This window comes from Homo sapiens, chromosome 3, assembly GCF_000001405.40.
Source record: "Homo sapiens chromosome 3, GRCh38.p14 Primary Assembly".
NCBI lineage: Eukaryota > Metazoa > Chordata > Mammalia > Primates > Hominidae > Homo > Homo sapiens.
In genome coordinates this window covers 171,320,539-171,333,755 of record NC_000003.12, presented here as the reverse complement: position 1 = coordinate 171,333,755, position 13,217 = coordinate 171,320,539, and the positions used below count along the sequence as shown (strand labels likewise).

Genomic DNA, 13,217 nt, shown 5'->3' with positions numbered 1-13,217 from the left:
CCTTGTAGTAGGATAGGGGTTGCAAACTGATGGCCAGAGGGCCAGGCATGTAATTCTCATGAGTGAAATGGCCAGTTTGCTCAGCCCAAAGGGGACAGCCACTCCTCATTTTCCAATTATTGCCGTGGGAATGGGGATCCAGTGTTGTAGGTTTTTTTTTTTTTTTTTTTTCTTTCTTTTTGAGACATCTGAGTCTCTGTTTCGCCCAGGTTGGAGTGCAGTGGTGCGATCTTGGCTCGCTGCAACCTCTGCCTCCCTGCAACCTCTGCCTCCCAGGTTCAAGCGATTCTTCTGCCTCAGCCTCCTGAGTAGCTGGGATTACAGGTGGCTGCCACCACGTCCGGCTAATTTTTGTACTTTTTAGTAGAGACGGGGTTTCATCATGTTGGCCAGGCTGGTCTTGAACTCCTAACCTCAGGTGATCTGCCCACCTCAGCCTACCAAAGTGCTGGGATTATAGGTGTGAACCACTGCGCCCGGCCTGTTGTCAGATCTTAGATTCTTCTTCTTTTTTTTAGAAAAGCTAGACTTTATGTAAAAGTTCCAAAATATTCATATTTAAAATTAAAAAGAGACACACACACACACTCCCTCCCACCCCCAACACCAACTATTAGGATCAAACAAAATATTTTCAAGCAGAATATAGTTCGAAGGCCATCAACTGGGGCCTCTTCCCTAAGAGTTGTGGCTGTAACATCAAAGAACATCACTGTGCTTTTGGCATTTGGGGCAAAATAATTTTTCTTTTTGTGGCACTCACTGTATATCACAGATTTCTAGCATTTCCACCCCCTAGTCCCATCCAATATTGCTTTTCTGTCGTTCTGACAAAAATGTCCCCAAATTTTCAAGTAACTTATAGGGTCAGCTGAGGTTTTCCCAGTTTTAGTATAGATAATACCCAAGCATCTTTGTGTTTCCTTTGCTGGGAATAATCTCCGGCCAAATATAACACTTCAGTTCTTGGTAAAAGCTAAATTTCACATCATTCTTTTATGTGTCTAGCCTTTCTTATCCTCAGTCACCCTTCCTCTGATTTCTGTGGGTTTTGTTTGGGTGAATGCACCTGGCCTTCAGGTTATAGCTGAATCAGGAGGTAGTTGGCTGGCAGAAGGATTACCTGGAGACAGTTACACATCTCACACCTTTCTCTGGCTATAGCAGCCCTGACTCAACAGCAGATATTCTGTCCTGAGGTTCTTCCCAGGAAGTGCCGTGGTGTGTGAAGCTGGCAGCGTTCCGGCCATTTTGGAAGGTTGTCATAAATGGTGGCACTGCGAGCTGAGGTTGGGTGATGCATGCTCTTTAAGAAAAGGCTAATTTTCTGGAAAGAAGTTTGGCTATGCCTAAAAATGTTCATCCATCTCTGAGGAAATAATGAGAAATATGAAAAGGCTTTATGCACAATTATATTGTTTGTAAAACTAATTCCAATAGCCAAAAACAGTAAACAAGTTAAATGTTCCACGTAGGAAAATGATTAAACAAATTTTGGGCTAGCTATATGATGTAATGATAAGTGGCCTTTTAAAACAAAGTTTATGAAGAATTTTTAATGGTAGGGGAAATACCATATAATCAAAAGATGATAGGATGTATTACTCATATACACACAGTTAGATATAGGTATGCCTATTTTTATAGGTGATTTTCCGTCTTCTCTATACTTTTCCAAATAGTCTACAGTAAAAACAAATATTGCTTTTTAAAAAAATAACTTTTAATTTTAGATTAATTTACATTAAATTAAATACAAAAGTTGCAAAGATAGTAGTGAGTTGCAGTTACCTATCCAGATTCCCCTACACTTTTATTACTTTTAAAAATTAGAATAAGTTACTTTAAAAATAATATAAAATGGGGTTTTCTAGCATATATTATCACGAGATAGCTTTTCATAGTCATTTAGGTATATTGTAAAAGAGGCGTTCAAAGAAAAAAATTACATTATCAAAAAGGCCCGTGTGACTTAGACTATATTTATTAAAAATGCTACATTTAACTGAGATCTCATGCATTTCACACATCCTGGATGGAACACTGGAGCGTTAGAAAACCCTCTTTAAATCATTTGTCCTAAAGTGATTTAAATGAATCCATTGCTTATCATAGGCTTGCTTTTGGATTTGATGCCAAAATAGACTTGTATTTGAGACCAAAGAAGTTATTCATCTTTCCTCCTTGAGCTATATATTTAGTTATTCCTTCTCAGACTTCCTTAGCCATATAAGTCAGTTTTATATGAGTCTATAATGGATATGAGTTTTAGATGCAGTCATCTGAAATTGAATTTACCAAGTAGATGCTATTTTAATACTTTGTTTTGACTGATCAACTCGCCAAAACTGGAAGCTAAAAATAATACACCTTGTCATTTTAGCAAGTCAAGCCATCACAGAAAATATTAAGAAATGACAGCAACTGGTATTTACAGGGCTCTCTTTGCCATATTCCTAATTGGGAACCCTTTAGGAAAGGGCCAGGGAGTGGCTGTGGATCTGGGGTAGAAAGTGGCCTGTTTTTGAATTTATGGAGTAGCGCACTGTCAGGGCCCCTTTCTTCACTCAGAAATGAAAGGAGCTGGTTCACCAGAGGGTGTGAGAACTCATTAACCACCCCCAGTGCTTCCCACCCAGCAAGGGATCAGAACATGTGCTGCTGTTTCAGAGCATCACAAAATCTTGTTTTCATGTGAGGATTTCAAAGGCTTAGATTGTTCAATTTGAAAATTTTGTCACAGAAGCGAAATGGGCACCTCTATAACTCGTGGTGGTGTTATTTTGTGGGAGGACCATCCATGTCTTTTTCCCCTATATTTTGAAATGAGGTCAAACGGACCTGTTCCATCCACTCACTTGGCATTTACTCTTCTTTGGGTGGGGCCCCTGGGAGTGTTTTAATTCGGGGTCGTAGGGTAAGAATAGATTAACATGGCATGACAAATTGGTTTGCTACAATCATAATTCGAAAGGTAGGTCAGGGTCTGAAGGGCAGAGTAGTGGTTCTCATTGGGGTTGGGTTTGGAGGATATAGTGGGAACAGAAGGATCATATGTAAGATTCACCCAAGAAGGTTTTTGGCCGCTAGGTTCCCCATCTGCCTGGTTAAGAATCCCCCAACAATAAAATGCCCCTATACCTCCTCCAGCTTACAAGGCAGAATTCCTGTGATGTGTAGGGCAAAACAACCCCCTACTCTTTTGTTATTAGTATTCTGCTGCTTTCTAAGTAAATGTTCTTAACTAAGAGAAAAATCTATACACTCTATCTCTAGAAGGCCAGCTGGAGAGGGAGAAGAAAAGAAAATTAAGAGACAATTTGGTTGGCTATCATTAATCTTTGTTTAGCCTTATGGGAAAATAAGCCTTCCTTCTTCTATCTTTGTTAGCAGGTAGATTAAGTTGGTTAAAGAATACTGTAGTCCATGAAAGAAAAGACAATGGCCTTTACAAAGGTATTCCAAAGCAGCCGAAAATATTTTTTTTCTTTCAGCTATTTTGCTGTCTAAGACTCAATGACACTTGACTGATTTGGGGTCAGTATCTAATAAGCGCATTTCCCAGATGAAAAACCAGCACAGCTAGGCCTTCTCCACAGAGCCTATACCTAGGTCTATCGAAGGAAGAAGATCATTCAGAATTTTATTTTTGCAAACCTTCAAATGTTAAGATCTGAATAATCTATTTAGGACAGTCAGAACTGCCTAATGGAAGTTGCATAATTGAGTAGAATTAAAAACCGCTTTCCTTCAGGTCCTCCCTCCTTTCCCCCATCTGTGACAACCTTTGACATTGCACAGATTTTCAAAGTCGTACTGTAAGATTAGTGCCAGGGTTCTTTCAAAGGAGGCTTGTAAGTGAAAAATCTGTTTTCGCATCCCTCAAAGCTGGAAGCCATAAAGAAAAGAAAAGAATATGCTTTTAATGAAGTCTTTGCAGGATCAGCTCCTTGCAACTTCAGTTGTTCATGTGAATCAAAAATAGCAGAAAGTAGGTCATATTGTAAAAATGAATTAGGCTTCACTTCACATTTTATTGACTTTACTAGGCTTTTTTCATTCACAGTGGTTGATTGTTAGCTAATGACTGGCATAAATAAAAAGGCATTTATTCTCTTATTTTCCTTATTTTGCCATCTACTTCTTTAGAATATCAGTGGGGCACACTATGTGCTTAGGGATTTAATTTTTTCATGTATCATTTTCACAACAACCCTGAAAGCTGGAATTTTTATGCTCATTTTATATGTGAGGGAACTGAAGCTCACAGAGTTTAAGGTAAATGACCCAAGGACACACAGCTCATTAGAAAAGATCTGCAGTTTGGACACATTTCTCTATCTGGAGGCCCTGCTGTTTTCAATTACATTCTTTTGATTTAAAAATATATATTTTTGATATATATTAGTGGGAAATAATTAAACTGAAGTAATATTGCCAAATCTTAATTGCCTCATGAGACAATGAAAAATACTTACCATGGTATTAAATAATTTTTTAAAATGATAATAACATTTATTTGAGCACTTAGTAGGGACCAGGCATTATGAACGAGTATAGGAAACAGCAAATACACAAATAAGTAATAGTTAACGTGTCAGATAGTGAAGCTACTACAGAGAAAAATAAAATAGGGTGTAAGGAGTGTGTGTATGTGTGTGTGTGTATATAGCAAGGGATTCTTGCTTCAGAGAAGGCATCAAGAATAGTATGAAATTTGAGCAGAAATTTCATAAGGAAAGTGCAGGAGCAGGTCTCTCAGACATCTGGATGAAGATTACAGAAATAACAAGTACAAAGGCCCTGAGGTGGGTGGGGTTGCTGTGTTTGAGGAAGAAGGAAGTGGCCATCTCCACAGCGCCCTCCATTGTTTCCTTAGTGACTTCCTGCCACAGCCACCAGCTCTGTCATTTGAATGCCTTTGTCCTCAAGGGGCAGAGAGACTCCCTTAGAGGGCATGAGGAAAGGCAGGCAGAATCCACCCCCACACTGGAGAGGGTGGGGAGCCAGTTTCATTTACATATTTAAATATCTTCCTCACAAGCAATAAATCTCAAATCATTTTAATTGAACATTTAAATCCTTCTCACTGGTAGGTATTTCAGGCATTCGGCTTTATGCCAATTATTGCGTCATCTTAAAAGAGAAGCTTTTAAATTTATTAAACCCATTACACTTGAATATTTGATTCCTGCCAAAACATAATTTAAAATCCTCACTTTAAAATAATTTGGTAAGGATTAGTAAACCTACCACAATAACCTAAACTGTGTGTCTGCAGAAATATCACCCAGTCTCTGGATAGGGGCAAACTGGTCCTTTGAAAGGGACTTTTCATGGTAGCCCCACGCAGGCGAATCTGCAGTGTCCCAGTCATCTGGGCTGCTGCAACAAAAATATCATGAACTGGGTGGTTTGAATAACAAACCCTTACTTGCCACAGGTCTGGAGCCTGGTGAGTCCAAGATCAAGCCTCCAGCAGATTCAGTGTCTGGTAAGGGTCTGCCTCCTGGTTCATAGATGATCCGATTCATAGTCTTCTCACTGTGTCCTCACAAGGGTAATGGCTTCTCTGGGACCTATTTTATAAGTGCACTAATCCTATGAGGGCAGAGCCTTTGTGACCTAATCATCTCCCAAAGGCCGCATCTCCTAATACCAACAGGTTGGGAATTAGGATTTCAATGTAAGAATTTTGGGGTGCAGACACAGACATTTAGTTTATAACATGCAGTTTGTCTAAGAAGTGGCCTGGCCTGAGTCTTGGAGATTCTGATTCAGTAGGTCTGAAATAGGGTTCAGGGTTCTTTTTCCAAACAAGTGATTTTTTTTTTTTTTTTTTTTTTTTTTTTTTTATGAGCCAGGTTTGGGAGCCACAGATCTGGTATAAAGTTGATATTGGCTCTATGTAATATAGAACAATGGAGTGGAGCAACAGTTTGGTCTGGCTAAGATGATGAAGGGGCACCCGTTACACCTTCCTTTATGCAGCTATATTAGTTGAGGAAGGCTAGGCTATGCTGCGGTAACACATTACACACCCCCCTTTGCTCCCACCCCGCCCACCAAAACTCAGTGGTTTAATATTTTGTGGTCTGTGGCTTTCTCCTGCAGACTCCAGAGCTACTGTTCTGGATGAGCAGCTTTCCTCCAGGCAATGCCACGGGCATCCTGGTAACTTTTGTCCAGTCACACTGTGTCCCCTAGGGCCTCCTCAGAGTTGCCTCCAGAGTCAGCTGAAGAGAGAGCGTATCCATCTTTGTGGGGTGTTTTAGCGGCCAGGCATAGCACTGTCCAGCCCTCCAGCCCATAGGCTATTGGGTAGAACCAGTCCCTTGGTCCCTCCTAGACATGAGGGGACCGGGAAAGGTAGCTCTCCTGTGTGCTCAGGAGGCAAGAGAAATAGTTGGTGAACACCCACATGGCATTGGCTCTACAATTGTAACCCATAGTGCACTGCCTGATGCAATTTTTTGCAGGTCACCAGTGTTTTTCCACTTGAGTCTGCCTGATACTACAAGCCACTTCATACTCAGGATCATTTACCTCTCTGCAACCCTGGTTCAGCTTAGCATGAGGAAGAACCAGTTTGGTTGAACTAAGTCACACTGAGGTATAATTGCATAACAGACCCCCTAATTGTCCCAGAAATCATTTTTATCTTAAAGTAGGAGTCTCATCCCAGGGATAGCTTAGCTTTTGTCTTTTCTTTACCATAGATTCTCTAAAAATTTAACAGTTTTACAATGCTTCTTGCATTATTGGCAGCAGGGGTTTTCAGGGGCAGAGTAGGGTAGGCATCCTGTAGGAGTAGATGATTCTAAGTATGGTGCTTGTGAGTTGGGGACTTTCTGGACAGTCTAAAAATATAAGCAGACTAGGTATGAATCCTAAGAAGAGCACCCTCAAGGGCAGAGGTAGTTTGCTCCTATGGTAGCACAAATCCTAAATACTCAATGTGAACAAATAAATTAAACAATATTATTACCTATAATTGCACAGACTGGTGTTTCTCAAAGGATGATTTCCAGACTAGAAGCATTTGCATTATCTGGAATTTTTTTTTTAAGTGAATTGTTAGGCTGTATCCCAGACCTACAGATTTAGAAATTCTGGTGCAGCAATCTATGTTTCAGGACAAACTGTTAGATTTAAATTTTAGATAAAACTTTGCAGCCCACCAGGTGATTCTGATGCATACCAATGTTTGAGAATCACTGGGATAGATTTTACCTGCTGATTATCATTTTATCAAAATCTAAGTAATTAGGGAACCTCAGTGGGAGTTTTTTTCTTTTTTTTTCTTGTGGGAGAAGGAAATGCACATAAGCCTTTCAGGACACTTGTTATATACGCTTCTGTCGTTTTAGGTTAAATGGCTGCTGCTTTTGTGTGTCTGTCTATAATACTCTGTAACGAGAATCAGTATCTTGAAAGATAAAGGCAATTCAAAGATTAACAATTATTTTTGTATATACTACATAATAAAGCCAAAGAAATACACTAACAAATTTTAAAAACATTTAAAACCAATGGTTGATTCAATGCCTTTGTAGTTTTCCTCTTGGTTTTACTGATCACTTTTGGTAACTTTCCTCTTTTTCTATTCAAGGTTCTGGGTGGGGTAATTTTTAGGGGCTTGAAATATATAATCTTGATATTGGAAACATTTCCAATTCTCCTCTTCCCTGCCACATAACATGCTGTCTTAGTGAACACTTCTAAACAAATTTGAACCCACGAAGACCCAAGGGCATCATTATGGACCTCAGTTGTTATGAATTCTGGATAGAGCAGATGAGGCTCGAGAAGAGTGGGCACAATTCTGCAAGGGCTCTGGGACTTGTTTTCTGACAAAAGTCCCTGATGTCAGCAAAGTTTGTCTCTTTTTCATTCAAGAGGTAGAAGCAGGTTCCCCCGAGTACTATGTACCTCCTAGCCCTTGTGCAAACATCAATTAATGAATCAAATCCCCAAATAAACCCTTTCCAGAGTGGTCCTCTGGCATATCAGAAAACTGTTATCGGCTCCCCGAAATTCTTGATAGTTTACTGACCTTGGCTGTTTGTACTGGCCACAATTAAAGTTGCCAGATAAAATACAACACCCTCAATGAAATTTAAATTTCAGATAAACAATAACATTTAAGGATAAGTGTGTTCCATAACTAAAAGTATGTAATATTTTATTAAGTTGAATTTAGAATTAAGAATGAACATTTGAATTTCAGATAACAGATAATTATACTCATTATAAGTATGTTCCATATTACATAATAGTTACAGGACATACTAACTTTATCTAAAATTTAATTGTGTTTCCTGAAGTTTTACTTGTTAATTAGTTCTTATTAGCCACAACTCATGTGACTATGGCAAAGGGATATTTGGAGGCTACTCAGATGTCCAGAGCTTCTTAATCCCTAGACGTAGCCACTAGTCAGCAAAGGCATTTTGCCTTTGGTCTCTGTTTATAAAACCATCATTACTTTATAATTGCCACTCCACTTTTGGATGTCCTCTCCTTTCTCCTCTGTTGGTGTTTGTCTTCCTGGTCTCTGTCCTGTTTGCAGAGAGAAAGGCTTTCCTGTTAGAAACAGCACCAGCCAATCTGAGTTCTTCTCTTTTGTTTTATTTATTTATTTATTTATTTATTTTGAGACAGTCTGGCTCTGTTGCCCAGGCTGAAGTGCAGTGGCGCCATCTCAGCTCATTGCAAGCTCCGCCTCCTGGATTCACGCCATTCTCCTGCCTCAGCCTCCCGAGTAGCTGGGACTACAGGCACCCGCCAGCATACCCAGCTAATTGTTTGTATTTTTTTTAGTAGAGACGGGGTTTCACCATGTTAGCCAGGATGGTCTCGATCTCCTGACCTCGTGATCCGCCCGCCTTGGCCTCTCAAAGTGCTGGGATTACAGGCGTGAGCCACCGCGCCCGGCCCTGAGTTCTTCTCTTTAACAAACTGGTCTCTTTCTGACGACTACGTAAATCTTTCCTTTTGGAGCTAGATGATATTTGGATATGTGTGGGTAAAAAACAACAACAATAACAACAAAACTGACATTTTCGAAAGCTTAGCTACCTGCAGTCCTCTTCTATGGTTTTTTGTATTTGGTGAATAATAGAACCTTTTTAGTTCTCAGAGTTCTTTGTGTAGGTAAGGGTGGCCCATCTAATTACCAACAATTAGATGAACAAGAACACCTGACCCTCGCCAGCTCAGGTTCTAATGAGAAACCAGTGCAGATAGTGTCAGATACAACAGGGCTCACTCAGCCATTTGTATGAAAATAACAGAAACCTAGTAGCAGCCATGTAAAGTCATTTTGTTCTTTCTGTCCTAGATTCCAGTTGCTGCTTCTCTCTAGAGACCTTTTATGCTTGTTTAGTTCTCTATGAAGTCAACAGGAACATCGGATACCAAGGAAGCCTGTAAGAGTGAGAGACTCTGACCCAATTTAAATGTCCTCACAGAGTTCAGTTACTCAAAAGAATTCAAGCCTTAAAAGCACAGAGCCTTGAAGTTACTAGAGCTTTACCCAAATGCTCCATAGGTTCCTGGATTGCAGAATATTGCTGAAATCTTGGTTTTGCCCTTCCTCCCTCCTCTCTTTCACATTTTATTTGGGTGACGTTCTGCTTGGGAATGACCAGCTGTCACTGCCAGTAGCTACTGGGATTACATTGCAGCATGGGCAGGGTGTTTTCGTTTTGTTTTTTAAAATGCCAATGGATATTTACTGGAGCTACTGTAGGGATTGGCAGTTTCATTTCTGTTTTCTGTGGAGGGGTTTTGGGTATAATAGTTGGATTAGAAACACTAAGAAAATCAAATTTAAACTCTCAATCTATTGATGGTACCAAGCACTAACCATTTGACATTAACTGGAAGGAGATACCATCTTAATCAGAGGCTAAAATGCTCCCTTTGCTCTAGATCATAGCTTATGAAGAGCAGAGTTTGAAGACAGAGACAGTCAGGTGGTGTCAGTTTCTGTCATTCTCACTTGGATTCCTGTGCAGTATCTTCACACTGTTTATTTTTAAAGAATTTTCAATCTGATGATACTGAAATTACTTCAGATCTTCTCTAATCTCATCCACCCTTCAGACTGTGTTTAGTTCCCCTGATATGTACTTTCATAGGTTCGCGAAATTGTAATGAACATATTGGGGTGGGAGTTCTGGAGGGCAGAGATGATGTCCATTTTCTTGACCCCGAAATTGTCAGTGCCCAACACTGACCTCGGACACAGTAGGTGCTCACCAGATAGATGAATGAATTAGATTCTAGGGCAACGTAATCCATGCGGTGTAATCCACAAATCACTCTTATGGCAATACATTACAAGTAATTTTTAAGCCTGATAGAGTTTTCTGAAGGTCTAGGAGGGGCATACGTAAGTTACCTATGTGTTGGGTTATGTGAAGGGACCATTTTCTACTCCTGCCCCCCAGCATACTTCTGTCATCTTTACCCACTGAGTGTCAACATGGAATATGAAGAAAGACTTTGCAAGTAAGATGTTAGGAAAATAAATTTCATGTGCTAAAACAGATATTGGCAAACATTTTTGATAAGGGCCTAGAGAGTAGATATTTCAATCTTTCTAGAAATACGGTCTTTGTCACAACTAATCAACTACCGCTCTTGTAGCACAAAAGCTGCCACAGACAATACACAAAGGAATGAGAATGGCTGTGTTCCAATTAAACTTCATTTATGGACACCAAAATGTAAATTTCATACAACTTTCCCATATCATGAAATTCTGTTCTTTTAAAACGTTTTCTCCCCAAACACTTACCAGTGTAAAAAAATTCTTAACTCACTGGCTATACAAAAGCAGGTAGTGGATCTGATTTGAACCACTTGGCAGAGTTTCACAACCTTGCACTTAAAAAAAAAAAAAAAAAGAAAAGAAAACAACAATAATAACAACAACAAAAAAAACACTAATAACAAAGCCAAAGCTTTGGTGAGGAAAGGGGGCACTTTCATTTTATCAGCCTTATAGCTTTCCTGAGCACTGAAATGAGGGACATAGAGCCTTTTCTTAGTGGCTTATTTTTACACCATTTTGTGTTTTTCTGTATGTTTGCCTACCTGCATATGTGCGTATATGGTAGAAGTAGACCAAGTTTTCAAGTTACGTGTGACATATTTTCATAGCAATTTGGAATGATCAAAGGAAATTGTAGAAAATACAGTATGGTCCCAGTTATTTTTTTAAAGAAAACACATTATACTACAAAAATGATGTACTTTATATATGCTTGTAAAAGGTTCTGAAAGGTATTTACTAAATGTTAACAGTGGTTACCTGTGAAAATTGGGAGTGTCATTTTTGAAGCAGGGGAGATATTGATCTTTTTCTGACTTATTTGACAATTTTAAATGAGAATGATTCTTGCTCAGATAATTTCACTATTTGTGAAATTAAAATTAATTAGTAATGTATTGAACTAAAAAAAAGATATTTATTGAAAGAAAACACTGAGCCTGCTTCTGTGAATCTACAAAAAATCTGTGATTTTAATGACATTGTAATTTTTTCATATTGACCCTTAGTGAAATACAGCTTTTGGAAAATCCCTTCTCTATGAGAGCATTGCTAAATAAGGAAGTGTTTAGGTTTTGTAGGAGTAAAAATAGCTTCTCCAGGGATGTTGATATTTAAAATAATGCAAATGTACAATAAAATCCCACAATCTAAACTCTGGATTCAGCCCATATACCCAGAGTTTTAGAATACATTTCTGACTAAAACACAAAAGACCTTGAAAGCAGGTGCTGTCTTTGTCCCCTGATACCAATGTGTTTTAATAAGGTTCCACCAGATTTTCAAAGTCTTTGGTTAAATTGGAACTGACATTTATGCTAATTAGCTGGGTTTGGGAGTGAAACAGGTAAAATTGAATTACAATGGGCTCCAAACTATATTTATTTTTAAAATAGTGGCTCTGAGGGATATTTGGTTCTATTTGTCAGTTATTTCATATCTCGCTACTTTCTATCATTCCCTTCCCGCCTGGTGTGTTAATCTGGTAATCTGAAATCTTTTTGTCTGCCTGTAACATAATAGGCTGTTTTCCTGTAGTCCATCTGTCTCCTACACGAGGTGAAAGTACTTTTCAGAAATGGCTTGGGTTGATATTATTAATCTTTATAAGCAGAGAATTCCTTGAATAATTTAACAGCCAAATGGCATGAGGGGGACTTGGTATAAAAATGAATTTTCCTGTCAGCTTTAAAAATTACAGCGTGGCCTGCCTTTTATCTGTGCAACTCAAATATCAAAACAATGGATGTTTATGCTCTTTATACAGTTTTCTGTTTTGCATTACCTAAGACCTAAGACGATGAAGAAACATTTAGACAATTTTGGTTTACTTTTTTTTTTCTGCTAGAAAACCGCAATAAGTTAATTAGCCAAAAGAAAGTCCTTCTTGTTCTCTGAAACAACAGATGCTGCCTTTGACCTTGGAATTTAAGGGAAAATCTATTTTTGATTACATGTCTTGAATTTCTTGGATTTGCCAGTGTTAGGGCAGCAGTTGTGATTGAGTGCTTTTGAAAGTATATGCATGATTTTCAAAGAAATCAGTCTGCACAGCTGTTGCTAAAGAAATCGTTGTTCTCCGTCCTTCCAGTTCATTACTATATAAGGTTTTAAAAATTATTTTTTCCCCCTACTTTTAATTGGAGTTATCCTAGTTACAGATGTCACAGCCTCTGAGCTACTGGTCTTCCACCCGACACCCTGCTTCGTTGCAAAGGCCTAAGGTTGGAGTATGCTGCATTTGATTGGCAGGGTAACATTGTTCCTCTATGCTGGGATGGGGAAATACAGCCAGTCCTGTGTTTAGGCAAGCCAGCAGGAGTGGGACTATTAATAGCCAACTATGTGTTTTCTCTCAGACACAGCCTCTTTACAGTGCTCTTTGCTTGCCTATCTTTTGGAAAGTCATGTGAATGCAGCAAAAGCTTTCTAAGAAATATGAGGGCCAAATGGCATTACTCTGCGTGAAGTATGCCCACATGGGATTATTAGTATTTTGTTAGAAGACCATTTAGCAAGTTTGTTTGTTTCTGAATCAAAATCCATAGATGCTCATTGAACATTTTTTGTTTTTTTCCATAAATCATGTATTTGAGAAAGACATCTTGATGATGGGAAACTCTTACCTTGGAGAAACAAAGAATCAAGTAGTGAC

The 13,217-nt window shown here is 38.9% G+C and overlaps 1 protein-coding gene across 8 annotated transcripts in view, besides 1 other annotated feature; it reads left to right on the top strand.

Moving 5' to 3' along the window:
* Positions 1 to 13,217, top strand: part of TNIK (TRAF2 and NCK interacting kinase) — a 401,995-nt gene that overhangs the window by 126,653 nt on the left and 262,125 nt on the right. The window lies entirely within an intron of this gene.
* Positions 7,792 to 11,801: an enhancer, noted in NCBI's record as "VISTA enhancer hs2120". NCBI's record gives its function as "enhancer in: somite[6/18]" and the evidence as "EXISTENCE:transgenic organism evidence [ECO:0001131][PMID:17130149]".